Genomic DNA, 16,273 nt, shown 5'->3' on the forward strand with positions numbered 1-16,273 from the left:
GAAATGAATGTGTTTGTTCTTTTGCATCAATCAGGAGCAGCAGGGAACATGGAGGGGTGGAGGGATGGTGAATGGGTTTGTTTTAAAGAAAAAGACCAGTGAGAGGGGAAGTTCAAGGCCTCTAGTCAAGTCACCCGTGCTTTCTCCCAGGCCCTCATCTCTGTTCCCTTCCCACGCAGACTTGCCCAACCTCCCCATTCTGTGCCAGCAGATCTGGGTGCTTACGCCTGGCTTGGGGAAGTGTGTGTCTTGGAGGGGAAAGGGTGTGGGGACTTCACTTGTATGCACAGTGCACCAGATTCCACAGAGCCTCTGGAGCCCAGGGTTTTTATCATTATGTTTGTTGACTTATTATGTAAAAATTGTACTTTGTTGCTTTTTTATTTGCTTGTTTTAATTGTTACTTGCAGCCATTTTTCCAAACGGCTGTTGTTCTTGAATGTTAGCTGTGCTCACACTTTCCTCATTATTGGTTCCTTAGTGAGCTTTCCTTTCCTTTATTCCTTCCTTCCTTCCCTCCCTCCCCTCCCCTCCCCTCCCTTGCCTTCCCTTCCTTCCTTCCTTCCATCCCTCCTTTTTCAGACAAGGTCTTTCTCTGTTGCCCAGGCTGGAGTGCAGTAAGTCGTGTGATCTTGGCTCACTACCGCCTCAACCTCCTGGGCTCAAGAGATCTTCCTACCTCAGCCTCCTGAATGGCTGAGACCACAGACACTCACCACCATACCTGGCTTTTTTCTTTTTTTTTCTAGAGACAGGGTCTTGCTCTCTTGTCCAGGCTGGTCTCAAACTCCTGATCTCAAGCAATTCTCCTGCCTCAGCCTCCCAAAGTTCTGGGATTACAGACGTGAGCCACTGCATCTAGCCTGTCCTCTATATTTTTGTTTTTTAAATATTTATCCTTTCTTTCTTTTTTTTGGCCTCAATGTATAACTGTTATTTTCTAGATTTGATCTGAGATGGAATCATGGATCTTCTTTGTATTTTGGAATGAAAAGAGGTGTGAGCCAGGGTAAGATTCTGCAGGAAGACCTTTACTGGGCTGAGGCAAGGATGTGAGACGCAGTCCAGTTGCTACTCTGAAACCTGTCCTTGAGGTTGCTGAGGAGTCTGATGCCATGACTCCATGGGGGGTGGTGTTTACACCTTGGGAGTCCATATGGCTAAACTACAAAAGAAACATGTGACCCTGGTCTTTGCTTATCGTATAACAGCAGAAGCACAATATAGAAAATCTTTCTTTGCAGGCTGTTTGGATCTTACCCTTTGTGGTAGCTCTGTTGCATTCTCTAGCAAAGTGTTTTCAAAACCTTCTTGACCAGTGACATACTGATAAGTATTTCGATCATATAAGTGGTTTTCTATTGCAAACAATATGACTCAAAACATACATTACACGTATACCTTTGGCACTGACTGAATTGATATAGGCTAGATTCCTAGAACTGGTATCTCAGTCAAGGAAACATGCATTTGAATTTGAATAGGTGCAGTCCTTCCAAAGAGCCCTTCCAAAATGCTGTGCCACTGCATGGAGTTTGTATCTGCCACTGCATGGAGTGAGCTATTTCCCTACGTCCAAACCTATAAGATACTATCCATCTGTCTCTTTTGCTTATCTGATGGGGAAAATTGGTACTTCATGGTTCCTAAACAATTTTGAATACTAGGGGATTTTGACTTTGAAGCTTCTTTCCTTTCCAGGTTTTCATAATGGAAAGTAGACTAAAGGGAAGATATTGAGGGTGGGATGTACATCAGAGAGGCCAAAGGAAGAAAATCATTATCCAGGTAGGAGGAAAAGAGGGCAGGATTTAGGGTATAAGGGAAGATGTAAGAAACTTGTAGGGAGCCACCTCCTTGCCAGTGCCTTCTCTCCATGCCCATCCTGACTTTTTGCAAGTTTTTTTTGTTGTTGTTTGTTTGTTTGTTTTTAGAGATAGGGTCTCTCTCTGACACCCAGGCTGGTGTGCAGAGGCCTGATCCTAGCTCACCACAGTCTTGAACTCCTGGGCTCAAGCAAACTCCCGCCTCAGTCTTCTGAGTAGCTGGGACTACACGCGCATGGATGCCACCATGGCTTGCTAATTTAAAACAATTTTTTTTTTTTAGAGACAGGTCGCACTGTGTGGCTTAGGCTGGTCTCAAACTCCTGGTCTCATGTGACCCCCAGCCTCAGTCTCCAGAGTAGCTGGGTCTATAGGTGCAAGCCATCACGCTCGGCTGACCTTTTGCAAATGTGAGTACAGATGCCCTCCTGAGACTTGGCGGCAGAGTCGCATGCAGGGGAAGGAAGATCTAAGGCTTGATCTCTTCTGAGGCGGCCAGCCTTTGAGAGATTCACGTCAACCGCTAAGGTCACCTGCTGCCCCCACATTCCTGTGGAACTAAGTGTAAAGAGCTTTTGATCTTGGGTGGAAATAAGGCAGAATTTATTATGTCACTAGAATCTTGTTTTTTTTTTTGAGTCGGAGTCTCGCTCTGTTGCCCAGGCTGAAGTGCAGTGGCGGGATCTCGGCTCACTGCAAGCTCCGCCTCCCGGGTTCACGCCATTCTCCTGCCTCAGCCTCTGGAGTAGCTGGGACTACAGGCGCCTGCCACCACGCCCAGCTTATTTTTTGTATTTTTAGTAGAGACAGGGTTTCACCATGTTAGCCGGGATGGTCTCTATCTCCTGACCCCGTGATCTACCTGCCTTGGCCTCCCAAAGTGCTGAGATTACAGGCGTGAGCCACCGCACCCGACCGCTAGAATCTTTTTAAGGTCTCCAAGGCAGAGGAATGTGTGCGGATTCATAAGCTGCCAAGATTTAAGAAAAAAGAAAAGTTAGTTAGGTGGAAAATTCAGATAGGATCCTAAAATTGCTACCTTCAATTTACTGCTTTTGAGTTGGGAAAGGAAATAAAGGATTTGGAAGCATTATGGGGAAGGCATTTAGGCTAGAATGGAAATACTTATTCATATCGTTCCTGCACTGGGTGGACCAAGCTATGAGCCACATCCGTCTTTGCAGGAATAAGAAATCATGAGAGGGTCAAATTATGTGGCTGGCATTTCTGCATAACATACCTCCCACTTAATGGGCACATAACAATTTCTCTAGCACGTTCTATTTATCAATAAAATCTCATTTTAAAAAAATATTTTATCTTTTTACAGCAGTTTTAGGTTCACAGCAAGATGAGCAGAGGGTCCCAACATCTTCTCCGCCCCCACACAAGCATAGCCTCCCCTACCGTCCATATTTCCAGCAGAGTGGCACATTTCTTTATGATTGATGAAGCCACATTGATACATCATTATTACACAGAGACCACAGCTTACATTATGCTTCACTCTTGGTGTTGTGTATTGTGTGGGTTTGGACCAATGTATAATGCCCTGTATCCGCCGTTGCAGTATTGTACAGAGTAGTTTCATTGCCCTAAAAATCCTCTGTGCTCCCCTATCCATCCCTCTCTCTCCTCTAGCCCCCAGGAAATGCCGATCACTTTCCTGTCTCCATGGTTCTGCCTTTTCCAGAATGTCGTTCAGTTGGAACCATGCAGTGGGTAGCCTCTTCAGATTGGCTTCTTTGACTCTGTGACATACGTGTCACTTTCCTCCATGTGTTTCTATGGCTTGATAGCTCATTTCATTTTACTACTGAATAATATTGCATTCTCTGAATGTACCACAGTTTATTTGGCCATCCACTTGCTGAAGGACATGGTGGTTGCTTCCTAGTTTTGGCAGTTATGAATAAAGCTGCTATAAACATCCCTGTGCACATGTTTGTCTGGACACAAAGCTTTTACCCATTTCATATATTCATTTGCATGGTTGCTTTACAGTGCCAGGGGCGAGTGGGTGGGGATTTTGTGGAGGCTGTGTGTTTTGGCTGTGAAAGACATCTAGCAGTCCTAGTAATGCCCTAGCTCCCATGAGCAGTGCTTCCTAAGGGCTCAGAGAGAGAGACTTTGGGACTATGCAGTACTGAAAAGGCAAGAGGTAACGCAAGCTGTAGCAACGCATTTCACTGCAGTTGCATGCCGGCAGCCAGAGACAATGCCAACTGAAGTGGATGCAGCCAGGGGAAGTCTGAAGAGCAGCCAGGCTCATAAATTTGAAGAGTGGAAAAGAATTGCGATGGCAACTAAATATTGCTCTGTAAAGTAGCCAGGCATAAGTCTTATACAGCAGTGACTTTCAAACTTTAGAAACTCTATTAACACTCCTCAAGTAGAAGGCTGCTGTGAGCTCCTGAAGAGGCACAGGCCATCCTCAGATCTCTGTGTTCATGAAAGATGCCCCGACTTTCTATCAGGGCCCATCTCCCTTGGGGTAGGGGGCTGGGTGCAGAATTTAACATTTTTTGATACTTTTTTTAAAAAAGAAATACAAAACTCAAGAGAATAATATAAGAACCCCAACATAACCCCTGCCCAGATTCCTCTTTCCTTTTTACAATTGCATTGCCCACGTCATGTATTCCATCAGTTTCCTGCTGTTTTGACATGTGGGCTGTCTCTGGCTGGCCTTTGGCTGCAGTGAGTAGACACCCTTTTGCCTATATGTTTTCACATTTTTGCAAATGTAGCTTGAAGTTAGATTCCAGGAGGTGTGTTTGCAGGGTCATGAGTAAGCGTATATGCAGTTTTGCTCACCGTTGTGCAGTGCCGCCCCCAATATCTGGGGATGCCTGCTTCCCAGGGCCTCTCAGCATCATTTGTCATTAGTGTTTTGCATTTTTGTCAACCTGGTAGGTGAGAAATGGTATCTCAGTTTAGTTTTAATTTGTTTTTTTTTTCTATTTTGTTTGAGATTGATCATATTTTCATATGTTTAAGGTCTATTTACATTTTTCCCCCTGGGAGCTCACTCTCTATTTAGACGTCTTGCCCATCTTTCTATTATTGGTCTTTTATTGCTTCTAAAATTTGAATTTCTACTTTATTTCCAATTTTTTTTCTTACTTGTCACTGACTTGAAGCTCATACATTTTGAATTTTGAGTCATAATTAGGAAGTTCGAATTTTGAGCCATATTTAGGGAGATTTTCTTACTCCGGATGATAAAGAAGTTTACTTATATTTTCTTCTAGAATTTAGATAGTCTCAATATTCCACATTTAGATTTTTAAAAATATATTAAATTGAGACAGGGTCTCACTTTTTTGCCCAGGCTGGCCTCAAACCCCTGCCCTCATGGGATCCTCCCTTTTCGGCCTCCCAAAGTGCTGGGATTACAGGCATGAGCCTCTGCACCTGGTCTACATTTAGATTTTTGTTACATTTGTCATATACTATTCTAGTGTGGAGAGTGAGGAATGGATTGAATGTTACTTCTAAATAGCTATCTATTTGTCCCAAAAATATTTATTTGAGGGTTCCATCTTTTACTTGCTGACTTAGGGTCTGTATCATTTGCTCTATCTCCATGTGTACCTGGCTGTATTTCAGGCCTTTACATTCTTTCGCTGGTCTGCCGTCCTTTTATTTGCTAATACCACACTCCTTTAATTAAGGAAGCTTCATAGAGAGCTGGCTGGGAGTATAGAGGAGCAAACACATTTTTCCATTCAGGCACTCCTGACTCACCTGAATTCCAGCAGAGCACAGGCTGTGCCAACTCTCTGCCTGTGCTTTTAGACCCTGTGGCTGCACAAAAAAAACTCAGGAATCAAAGTGGAGACAGTGAGAATTCAGGCGGAAATTACTAGAAAACCCCAGGAAGTAAAGAAGGAAAAAGAAACCAAGGAACCAGAAAAACCAACAGATGCAGTCAGTTAAAACTTAGAGTGACCAGGAGATCCAGTGTTTCTTAAAAGAATGGAGATTTCTTGAGTGTGAAGATTTGAGGAAGAGGATCGTGAATGGTCCAAGACAATTGCCCAGCACCTCAAGCAGAGAGGCACCAGCAGGAGCTGGTAACAATGTCTACAGTCTACAGATGCTGGAGAGAGCAGGACTCACTCTGGGCCACTCATGAGACCAGCCATGGGCCAAGGAGCCAGCCCTGGCCCTGTCCTCATGGAGAGGCCCTGCCAGGATTCTGGGATACAGATGGAAGGACAAGGTCTTTTCAGGTCCTCTCTGTGCATATGTGGTTGTTCCTGCAACTCCTGTTATCAGTTCCGGGTCTGTCATCCCCATTGCTTTAAGGGGCTGCTGTCGGCCCCCATGCATGATTTCCGTGGAGCATCCTCAGGTACCCAGATGGGAGTCCTGGAACATGAGCCTGAGGGTCAGCCCCCTGCCTGTTTCCTGCTGTTGTCCCAGCTAGAAACTTGGAGACAATTAGAACCTGGATCTCAATTCTGCCTCAAAGCAAGGCAATAGCACAATCTATACACTGGTGCGTGACTCCTCCTCTCCCAGCCCAGTGTGATGAGGATAAAATGAGAAATAAATGAATGAGCATCACCTAAAAAAAAGAAAGAATTCTATGTTTTAATATCTGGCAGGGCTAGTCCTTTGTTATTTCTTCCAGAGTTTTTCTGGTGATTTTTACTTGTTTATATTTCCATATGAACATTATGATCAACTTGTACATTCAGGTCTTCTATAATTACTGGGTTGCTTTCTGAAGGCAGAGTGTGTGGAATCCCACAGGTGCAGAGAGCAGCCTCCTGGGTGTGAGTTAATTTGCATTTATACCTGACTTCCTTTACCGTTGGTCAATAACCTAGGCATAAAGCTAAGTTGAAAAGTACTGCCCTAGGTAGCCTTAAAATTAATGAAGAATGAACACAAAGTATTACAACACAAGGAAGAAACCCTAAGTTACTAGAGGGCAGGGACTGTTTAATAGTATGTGCCTAAACATATGTGCTGGAGCTAGATACATTGCCAAGGTCCAGTAAAATGCTGAATTATATTAAAAGAATGAATGTGATCAATGCTAGATTGGAATCCTATTTCAAGGGGGAACAGAAGAAGAAGATGTTCACTTGGAATTCAAAGCTTTTGACAAGGAGGTGGCATTTGCGATTGGCGTTGAAGAGTTATCGGATTCTAGTAGCTGTAAGAGGCTGTGTGGAGGAGAAAAAGCCAGACAGGGAATGCCATGTGTGAAGAGCAGAAGGCAAGGAGGCGTGTGATGGGTCTGTGGAACAGTGATGAGTCTTGGTGCTGGAACAAATGATGTTGGGGTAGAAAGGGGGTGCCATAGACACCACAGGAAATGAGACTGAAAACGAGGGCTGGACTCAGAAGATGGGAGAACATAAGACATTTGGGATTTTTACAGCTATGGGAATAATGAGTCTTTGAAATCTTGGGGCAGGAGGGAGATAAACATCGGTAACAGTTAATGTATATAGAAACAGTTAGGATTAGTTTATTTCAGTTGTAATAAGTGATTCTTCATTATTTCAGTTAAAAATATGTTAAAAACATCGCCAACTACTTGGGATCCTTAGAGCCTCATACTCCAAGTTAACCTGGTACATGTTCAAAGTAGAAAACCTCACCCTGGTGTTCTTTAAAATAAAGTTAAATTAGTAAATTTATATCTAGCTTGGATTCTTCATGCAGCACTTCTAGAGAATTGGAGTGTAATACTATTAGAATTTGTGAGCTGATCTAGGTGCAACTAACATAGTTTTGTTACTGTATTAATTCCAAATGCTATGTTTATGTTATCACGTGACAAAAAGTGGCAATCCTTTATAGGAATGTCATCTTTTATGCTTTAAAATTCTCAAAGCCTGCCTTCCCTGCTGCCCTCCCCACCAACCCTCACTACAACAAAGGGAATCAATTTTTTACTGTTGTGTAATTAGAGGAAAAAAAAGTTCTTAATTTCCTTCTCTCCCAAGAGGAAATATGGTGTTCCAAACCACAAGAGTTTATTGCATTTGACCCTCACATTTTCTGTTTATTAATCACAGAAGTATACATTTCACTAAAAACTATAAGCAAATTATTGCTTTACCTGTAATTGTTTCCCAGGGCAGCTGTGACTGGCTAAGCACAGCCTGGAGCTCTTGCAGAGTGATGTGTGCTCTCCATGAGGATGGGACAGGCAAGGAAGAGGGACCTGCTCGCTCACTGTGCTCCCGGGCCTTGGGCTTGGAATGGCAGACAGGGCAGGGTCAGAGAACAGCTGAAGAAAACAGAAAGATGAAACTTTACAACTAGAAAACAAAGAAAAGTTGCATGTTAATTTAAGCACTGGGAATTCAAATTGAAATGATCACAAAGAGTGTTATTATCTCAAATTCCACTTGTACATTTACCTTATATCCTGCAACCTTGCTATAATCACTCACTAGTCTCAGAAGTTTTTTCCTAATGTGTATACCTTTATTTTATTTTTTTGTCTAATTGCATTAGCTAGGACTTCCAGGATGATACGGAAAAGCAGTGGTGAGTGGGGACATCCTTGCCTTTTTCCTGAACTTAGTGGAAAAACTTCTTGTTTCTTGCCATTAACTATGATGTTAGTTGTAGGCTTTTTGTAGATATTATTTACCAAGTTGAGGAAGTTCCTCTCTATTCCTAGTATACTGAGGGTTTTTTTAAAATCATGAATGAGTATTGGATTTTGTCAAATACTTTCTCTGCATCTATAATACAATCATGAGATTTTTCTTCTTAGCCTGTTGATGTGATGGATTATATTAATTGACTTTTAAATGTTGACGTGGCCTTGCATACCTGGGATAAATCCCACTTGGCTGTGGGATATAATTCTTTTTAAACATTGTTGGGGTCAGAGGAATATTATTATTATTATGTTTAATAAGCATCATACCAATAGCTCAAGTGAACTATGTAACAGGTGGGAGTACTATTGAGTCCAACACATGGTAGAGCTGAGAACAAAATAATTGCAAGGAAGCTTGATTCTAAATCAGCATCCAAAAGCACATTTGTAAGAATGATAGAAATATTGAGAAGTCGTTTCTTTTGGAAAAGACTTCTGAAAAACTTTCAGTATCTGAACTAAAGTTACTTCAACTCTCCTAACAGGGCAGCCTCTCCTGGTCTCACTGCCAGGTGGCAACCGCATTCCTGATCTCAATGCTGCTGGGGAGGAGTGTTTGGTAGCCAGGGTGCCCATGGTCTGCAATACTAGAGCCAACCCCAGGTGGCCATCGGGTATAACATAGGCGGCAAGCCATGCCAGCACCACTGGGCTCTGTGGTCCAAGGAGAGTTCCTTCTGTGTTCCTTGTAGACTTGCAATGTGAGGAAGCCCCTGCTGCGTCCAAGTCAGACTCACATGGGACCGGGGAGGGTGCATCATAAAATTTTTAAAAGAGAGATAAACCACTCAATTTTCCCTGCAATGTCATTAAAATATGAACTGAGATAACAGCAAAGATGAATTGGAAACAAATTGTTCCATAGTAATCTAATTTTTAATAATCTCATGTTTTTGCATTTGTGCCAGAAGGAAATAATCTCCTTGATTCTCAGAATCACTGTGCTTAGTGTTTCCTTTTCCTCCCTTCCTCCCTCCCTCCTTCTTTTTCTTTGATAAGATCATGTTTTCCAGAGTAGACATTATTTAAATTGACATCTATTTTGTTACAATGATGTTTTCATCTTTCAGTTCCACAGCAGGATAAAATAATAAAGGGGGTACTTTGAAGCAACCACCTTTCTCCTTTGAAGTGTTATGTACCAACAATTTAAATCAAGGTCATTTTTCCCTTTGATATTTATCAAGATGAACTTTGACCCACCTACATTGATATTCCATATCAGCTTTCTTTTCCAACCATTGACACTCCTGTTAGATTAGAAAGGAAAATTTTCCATTTTATCTCAATCACCTGATTTATCACCAGCTGATATCTTCACATCTTTTCAAAGTGGAGAAAACTCCTGTTGCTCATTTTGGCAGCAGCTAGAGCTCTGGTCTTGATCTCTGTTCTCTCCATGGGCCCAGTTCTGAATCCAGCAATCATGGGCTGTTTGGGAATCTTTGGAATTATTATCCAACTCTTCCTTGTGTTGAAGATGTCCTTACATCTCTAGTTGTATATCAGTGTTCCTAACACCATGACTTTTTATTTCTTTTTTCTCACAGCAAATGAAAGCTCTTGTTACCAAGGACAGATATTTACAAAAAATATTTGGTCATTAAGTCCAGTCTCTCTCCCTCATTGCAAGCCTCCATTGCAGTGGAAAAAAAAAAAAAAGAAAAGAAAAAAAGAAAGAAAACAAAAAGAAACAGAACAATTGTTTATTTGGTTCTGGGTTGATGCAAGGTACTCTCTGGAGCACATCCTCCTGCAAAGTCACCCAGAAAAGAGAGTGCACTCAGGGATAAGAATGAGGGCTGAGTGGCCCCAACCACAACATTCACCTGATCCAATCATACAATACAATAAAGGACTCAGTAGCCACTCTGCCTTTTCTTCTAATTTGGGCAAAATTCTAATATATTTGGCATTTAGTCTTCCCAAGAATAATAGATGAGAAATAGAAAAATTATCCGAGAGAGTTAGAGGGAAGTATTCTGCCTACTGCAGAAATTGACGACTTGGTTGGGTGCAGTGGCTCGCACCTGTCATACCAGCGTTTTGGGAGGCTGAGACAGGAGGGTACCTTGAGGAAAAACATTTGAGACCAGCCTGGGACAACATAGTAAGACCTCGCCTCTACAAAAATATAAAAATAAAAGAGCACTAACTGCAGACAGGCTGCCATCCACGGAGGAGTCTGAAAGACCAGGAAGAGCCATCAGGAAGGGTCCATCGGCATTGAGCCAGAGGCCTTCATGAAGGAAGAGACTGTCCTTCACGCTCCACTGGCTCCTGAGGACACCCTAGAAGTGGCCTCCAACCTCAATACCTGGGGAAACCTGCCAAAACCAGCCCGAAGCATGGGAACCTTGGGGTGCACGCAATTGTGTAGGTGGTAATTTTAATAGCTAGCATCCACTTAGCACATTCCATGTGCTATGTTCTTTCTTGTGCTGCATTTTACCATTTAATCATCCAGTCAAACCCAGAAGGTAGGGACCACCCTACTTTCCTTTCTACAGCTTGGAGATTGAGCTAGATTCCCCCAAGGGCACACAGTAAGTAAGTAATGGAGGTGGATCAGACCTGGGCCTCTTTGCTACTGAACAGCCTTGTGTGACAGTGGTCAGAGTCCTGCCATTGCATCACCATGCACCCTGGCTGAAGTCCCAGGTCCATCTTAACCCTCTTGGATCAGCATCTCTGAAAGTGGGGCCTGGCCTCTGTGTTCACCATAGGTACTCTGAGTACTGAGAACCTCATGCAGGCCATGGTCTCTGCTTCCCCAGGGAAGGCATGGGGTTTCCATCCATTGAATGCAAGAGGGTGTCTAAGCCCTCAGTGAACACACAAGCCCCAGCTCTGAAGAGACAAGGTGGGTAGAGGCAGTGGGTGCAGAGACAATGATGGCCACAGTGGGCAGGACCCATGCAGCTCTGTCCTCTCCTCCAGGAGTCCCACTGAAATGACAGAAAAGAGACTTTCAAAAGAAAGAAAACACACAGATGCTGGAACACAGAAAAGGGGCATCCGTGGGCCATGAATTTTGAGGAAATCGTGAGAGGACCTTGAGAGTGGGGTTGAGTGTTTGAGCAGGAGGTAAACTGTAGTCTGAATGTAAGAAGGTCAGCAGGGTTTTTCCCTGGGAGACATGAGAAACAAGCTGAGGTCTCTCAAGGCAAAGAGCAGGAGTGGTGGGGGGATCTGGTGAATCACTGTGTGGGCTCACAGAAGGTGCTGGGTCCTTGCTTTCCACCCTTTGCCCTTGGTCCTGATGGGGCAGAGCTGACTGCGCTGGGGACAAGGCTCCCACAGCCCACCCTCCGCCAGCGCACCTTGCCTGACCTGACTGCCAGAGGGTTCCGCCCTCCTCACCACCTGTACCAAACTCTGCAGTCCTCAAAAGAAAACCTGAAGAGTGAGGAAAACTACAAACAAGGGAGGAAGATCAAGAAGGAATCCAGAGAACAGGGGAAACTTCACTGGACACAGATATTAATTGAGTGCATGTGTGTAATATAATTGTTTATATTAATATTACATGTATATATACATGCCCTATATATATATACACTCATATATATATATATATATACACTCATATATATATATATATATATATACACACACACAGAGTCATGTCATATAATGACATTTTGTTCAGTGATGAACACAGCCGTGGTCCTATAAGTTTATAATGGCACTAAAAGATTTCTGTTTCCTAGTGACATTATACTCATCCTAATGTCTTAGTGCAGTGCAATTACTCATGTGTTTGTGGTGATGCTGGTGGAAGTAAACCTACTGCACTGCCAGTCTCGTAAAGGTATAGCAATACAATCACATACAGTACCAAGTACTTGATAGTAAAGACTAAGTACTTGAGAAAGACTATGTTACTGGCTTACGTATTTACTATACTTTTTATTTTAGAATGTACTCCTTCTACTTATAAAAAAAATAGTTAACTGTAAAATAGCCTCAGGCAGTCCCTTAGGAGGTATTCCAGAAGAAGGCCTTATTTTTTATATATATATATTTTAATGTTTTGGGACAGGGTCTCACTCTGTTGCCCAGGTTGAAGTGCATTGGGCGATCTCGGCCATGATTCATGCATGTCATGGCCCCTGAAGACCTTTCAGTAGACAAGATATGGAGGTGAAAGGTGGTGATATCGATGATCCTGAGTCTGTGTAGGCCTAAGCTAATGTGTCTGTTTGTGTCTTCATTTTTTTTTTTTTTTTTTGAGACAGGCTCTTGCCCTGTTGCCCAGGCTGGAGTGCAGTGGTGCTAGCTCAGCTCACTGCAACCTCCACCTCCTGGGCTCAAGCAATCCTCCCATCTCAGCCTCCTGAATAGCTGGGACCACAGGTGCACACTGCCACACCTGGCTAATTTTTGTATTTTTTATAGAGATGTGGTTTCACCATGTTGCCCAAGCTGGTCTCATACTTCTGGACTCAAACTATCCTTCTGCCTTGGCCTCCCAAAGTGCTGGGATTATAGGTGTGAGCCAGCATACCTAGCTGTGTCTTAACTTTTAACGAGAGAGTTTAAAAAGGTTTTTAAAAAGTTTTTAAATAGAAAAAAAAGCTTAGAGTATTAGAATATAAAGAAACAACATATTTTGTGTTTGTGTTTTAAGGTGTTATTACAAGAGTCCAAAGTTTTTAAAAATTTAAAAGTTTGTAAAGTAAAAATGTTACAGAAAGCTAAGGTTAGTTTGTTACTGAAGAAAAAAATATTTTTTATAAATTTAATGCAGCCTAAGTGTACAGTGTTTCTAAAGTCTATAGTATTCTACAGTAATGTCCTGGTCTTCACATTCACTCACCACTCACTCACTGACTCATCCAGAGTAACTCCCTGTCCTGCAAGCCCCATTCATGGTAATTGTCTTATCCGGGTGTCCCATTCTTCATCTTTTACACTACATTTTTACTGTATCTTTTCTATGTTTAGATATGTTTGGATAGACAAATACTTACCATTGTGTTATAACTGCCTACAGTATTCAGTACAGTAACATGCTGTATAGGTTTGTAGCCTAGGAGCAATAGGCCGTCCCATACAGCCTAGGGGTGTTGGATGCTATGCCATCCAGGTTTATCTATGAAGTTTGCAGGATGACAGAATCACTTAATGAGCATTTCTCAGAGTGTATCCCTGTTGTTAAGTGACAAGTGACTGTGTATACACACACACACACGCACACACCACACGCACACACACACACTACAGGAAGATACAGCCTTAAAATGACAATGGACTGCTGTGTAAAAGGAGTTTTAGAGAAATATAATGTGTTCTTGGAATTTTGAAACATGATAAATGAAACATGAGCCAAAGGTTAGAGCAGGATAATAAATTGGAAATGGCTGAACACCAAGTTGCAAATCTGGAAGCTAAAGCTGGGGAAATCTCTCAGGACTTACTTGAAAAAGACATAAATGGAAACTCACAGAAGAACTGGAGCCAGAAGCTACGGACAGTGGTTACCTCAGTGGAGTGAGAAGGCCTGTGATTTCACTGATGGCCCTTCTGAACCATGTGAATTTCTTCCTTCACCACATGCAGACATCAGTTAATAGGACAGATTAAAGTTGCATGCTAGCTGATGGCTGCCGGGGAGGCAGGAATACTCAATTAAGCGCGGCACAGTTCTCGTGGGTTCTTGTTGAATAGTGCAAGTTGGGAGTCCGGTCTTGTTCACCGTTTCCCTCTGTTCTCTAGGAGTGGGCAACCACTCTCATGGATGGCTCATACCTATTACGTGAGCTGCCCTGTGATAACTCACTGTCTCCCTTCTGTCTCAGAAGGCCTGCCTTTCCTTTGCCCTAGTTGTGAGGCATTTGGAATTCAGCCAATCTGCAATGCTGAATGTGGAGGAGGATCCATGTGACATGGTTGGAGCCAAGGTGTTGAGCAAAGCCTCATCTGTCTGGACAAACTTCAGTCCTCACAAGCAAGCAAGCTATGCCCAAGCTTATGTGCAATGCTTTGAATGGGCAGAGGTCAGTCTGACAGTGACAGTGTGAGAACGATGTGGAGCTGGGCCTGGGTGGGGAGAAGGTGCCCGTCCTCCATGAGTCTAAGTGGAGTGTACCCTTTTGACTCACAGATCCACGTATTCCTGTCACCAGTTGGTGCATGAAGGCAATACAGTCTCCTGAGTTTCTACAATACCAGGTCTGTCATTTAGTTGTCCTTGTTTTTAAGTGAGAGTGAAGTTCACTATTCTGAGGTCCAGGGAGGGGTGAGGAATTCCAGCATTAGGTTTGGCCTCAGGAAGAGGGACTGGGAGAATTTGATAATGGGGAGTGCGGTAGGCTGAGTTGTAACATGGTTCCCAAAGTCCCCACCCTCATGTACATACTCTGAATAGCATCTCCCCTTGAGTGTGGGATACTCCTGTGAAGACAACAGGGTTTCAGTGTGAACAGGCAAAAAGGGACTTTGCAAATGTAGTGAAGGTCCCTGATCAGTTCACTTTGAGTCAATAAAAAGGAGATTATCCTGAGTGGGCTTGACCTAATCGGGTGATCCCTTAAAGGAGACAAGAGGCAGCAATAGACATCCTCCTTCTGGCCTTGAGGAAGTCAGCTGCCATATTTTGCTCTTTTTTTTTTTTTTTTCCTTTTGTAGAGACAGTCTCCCTATGCCACCCAAGCAAGTCCGGAATTCCTGGCTCAAGCGATCCTCCTGCCTCTGCCTCTATGAGTACCGGGAGAACAGGTGTGAGCCGCTGCCCAGTCATATTTTGATTGACACTCTCCAAATGTGAGAGTGGCCTCTAGGAGCTTGGAGTGACCCCTGGCTGACAGCCAGCAAGAATATACAGACCTCAGTGTTACAGCCCAGCTGGATCCTGCCAAGCACCAGTGAGCTGGAAGAGGATCCCCAGCCTCAGATGAGCCTGCAGCCTGTGCTGATGCCTGGATTTCAGCCTGGGAGACTCTCAGCAGAGGACTCGGCTCAAGGCTGTCTACAGTCCTGATCTACCAGAACCATGAGATAATAAACAGGCATTGTTTAGGTAGTGAAATGTGGTTACACATAAATAGGAACCCAGTGCAGCGTAAGATGCCCTGGCATATCAAGGGCGGTTCATGAGTGGGTGCCTTCAGCTTGGGAGGAAGCAGGCATAGGGCTGATGCATCGCAGTGTCCACATATGCAGGGAGGCTGGTTTCCTAGGAAGCCTCCCAATGAGGAAATTGTTGGGAATGTGCTGCAAGGCGCTGCCTCGCTCTGGAGCCAGACGAGAGGCCGGAGCATCCGCCCCAACATGGCTGGCTGTGTGAGCCTCAGGAACGCTGGCAGCTCTGCAAGACTCTCTGCCATCTGCAAAATGTGGGTGAGCATATCCCCCCAGCCACACAATTCTTGGGGATGGAGTGAGACAATTCTTAGAAAGCTCTAGTTGCAGTGCGGGTGCACAGGAAGGGCTCTGTGCACACTGATGCATGTTGCTCTAGCTCAAAGTGTCCCTTGAGCAGCTGGGGTGTGATCTCCAAGTGCACCCACCAGCCGGTCTCACCTGGCCTGGGCTCCGAGCAGGGGTCAACCTGAGGGCATTTCACTCCAGATCCAGCATGGGTTTGAGGAAGGGGCCAATGAGGGGCCAGTGGCCACAAAATAGCACTTGATTCTGATCATAAGCCCAGTCACTAAGAGGCGGGTAAAAAGAAATGCATTACCCATTTGACAAATTTTCTATGGTGAATGAATACAAATACTGGGTTACAATGAGCACTTGGCTAGCTGGCTAAAGGTAGGGCCCCAAATAGGGGGGCTGAATGGAGGTGAGAAGCCTG

The 16,273-nt window shown here is 43.8% G+C and overlaps 1 long non-coding RNA gene across 1 annotated transcript in view, besides 2 other annotated features; it reads left to right on the forward strand.

Moving 5' to 3' along the window:
* Positions 11,128-11,628: an enhancer, noted in NCBI's record as "H3K27ac hESC enhancer chr15:26143028-26143528 (GRCh37/hg19 assembly coordinates)". NCBI's record gives its function as "activates a minimal SCP1, AML or CMV promoter by ChIP-STARR-seq in naive H9 embryonic stem cells {active_cell/tissue: H9 hESC(naive)}" and the evidence as "EXISTENCE:reporter gene assay evidence [ECO:0000049][PMID:30033119]".
* Positions 11,629-12,129: an enhancer, noted in NCBI's record as "H3K27ac hESC enhancer chr15:26143529-26144029 (GRCh37/hg19 assembly coordinates)". NCBI's record gives its function as "activates a minimal SCP1, AML or CMV promoter by ChIP-STARR-seq in naive H9 embryonic stem cells {active_cell/tissue: H9 hESC(naive)}" and the evidence as "EXISTENCE:reporter gene assay evidence [ECO:0000049][PMID:30033119]".
* Positions 15,607-16,273, forward strand: part of LINC02346 (long intergenic non-protein coding RNA 2346) — a 150,761-nt gene continuing 150,094 nt past the window's right edge. The window contains exon 1 of the long non-coding RNA NR_040082.1: positions 15,607-15,813. This is a non-coding gene — a long non-coding RNA (long intergenic non-protein coding RNA 2346). The remainder of the gene's footprint in view (positions 15,814-16,273) is intronic.

The sequence above is a fragment of the Homo sapiens genome, chromosome 15 (genome assembly GCF_000001405.40).
Source record: "Homo sapiens chromosome 15, GRCh38.p14 Primary Assembly".
Classification (NCBI taxonomy): domain Eukaryota; kingdom Metazoa; phylum Chordata; class Mammalia; order Primates; family Hominidae; genus Homo; species Homo sapiens.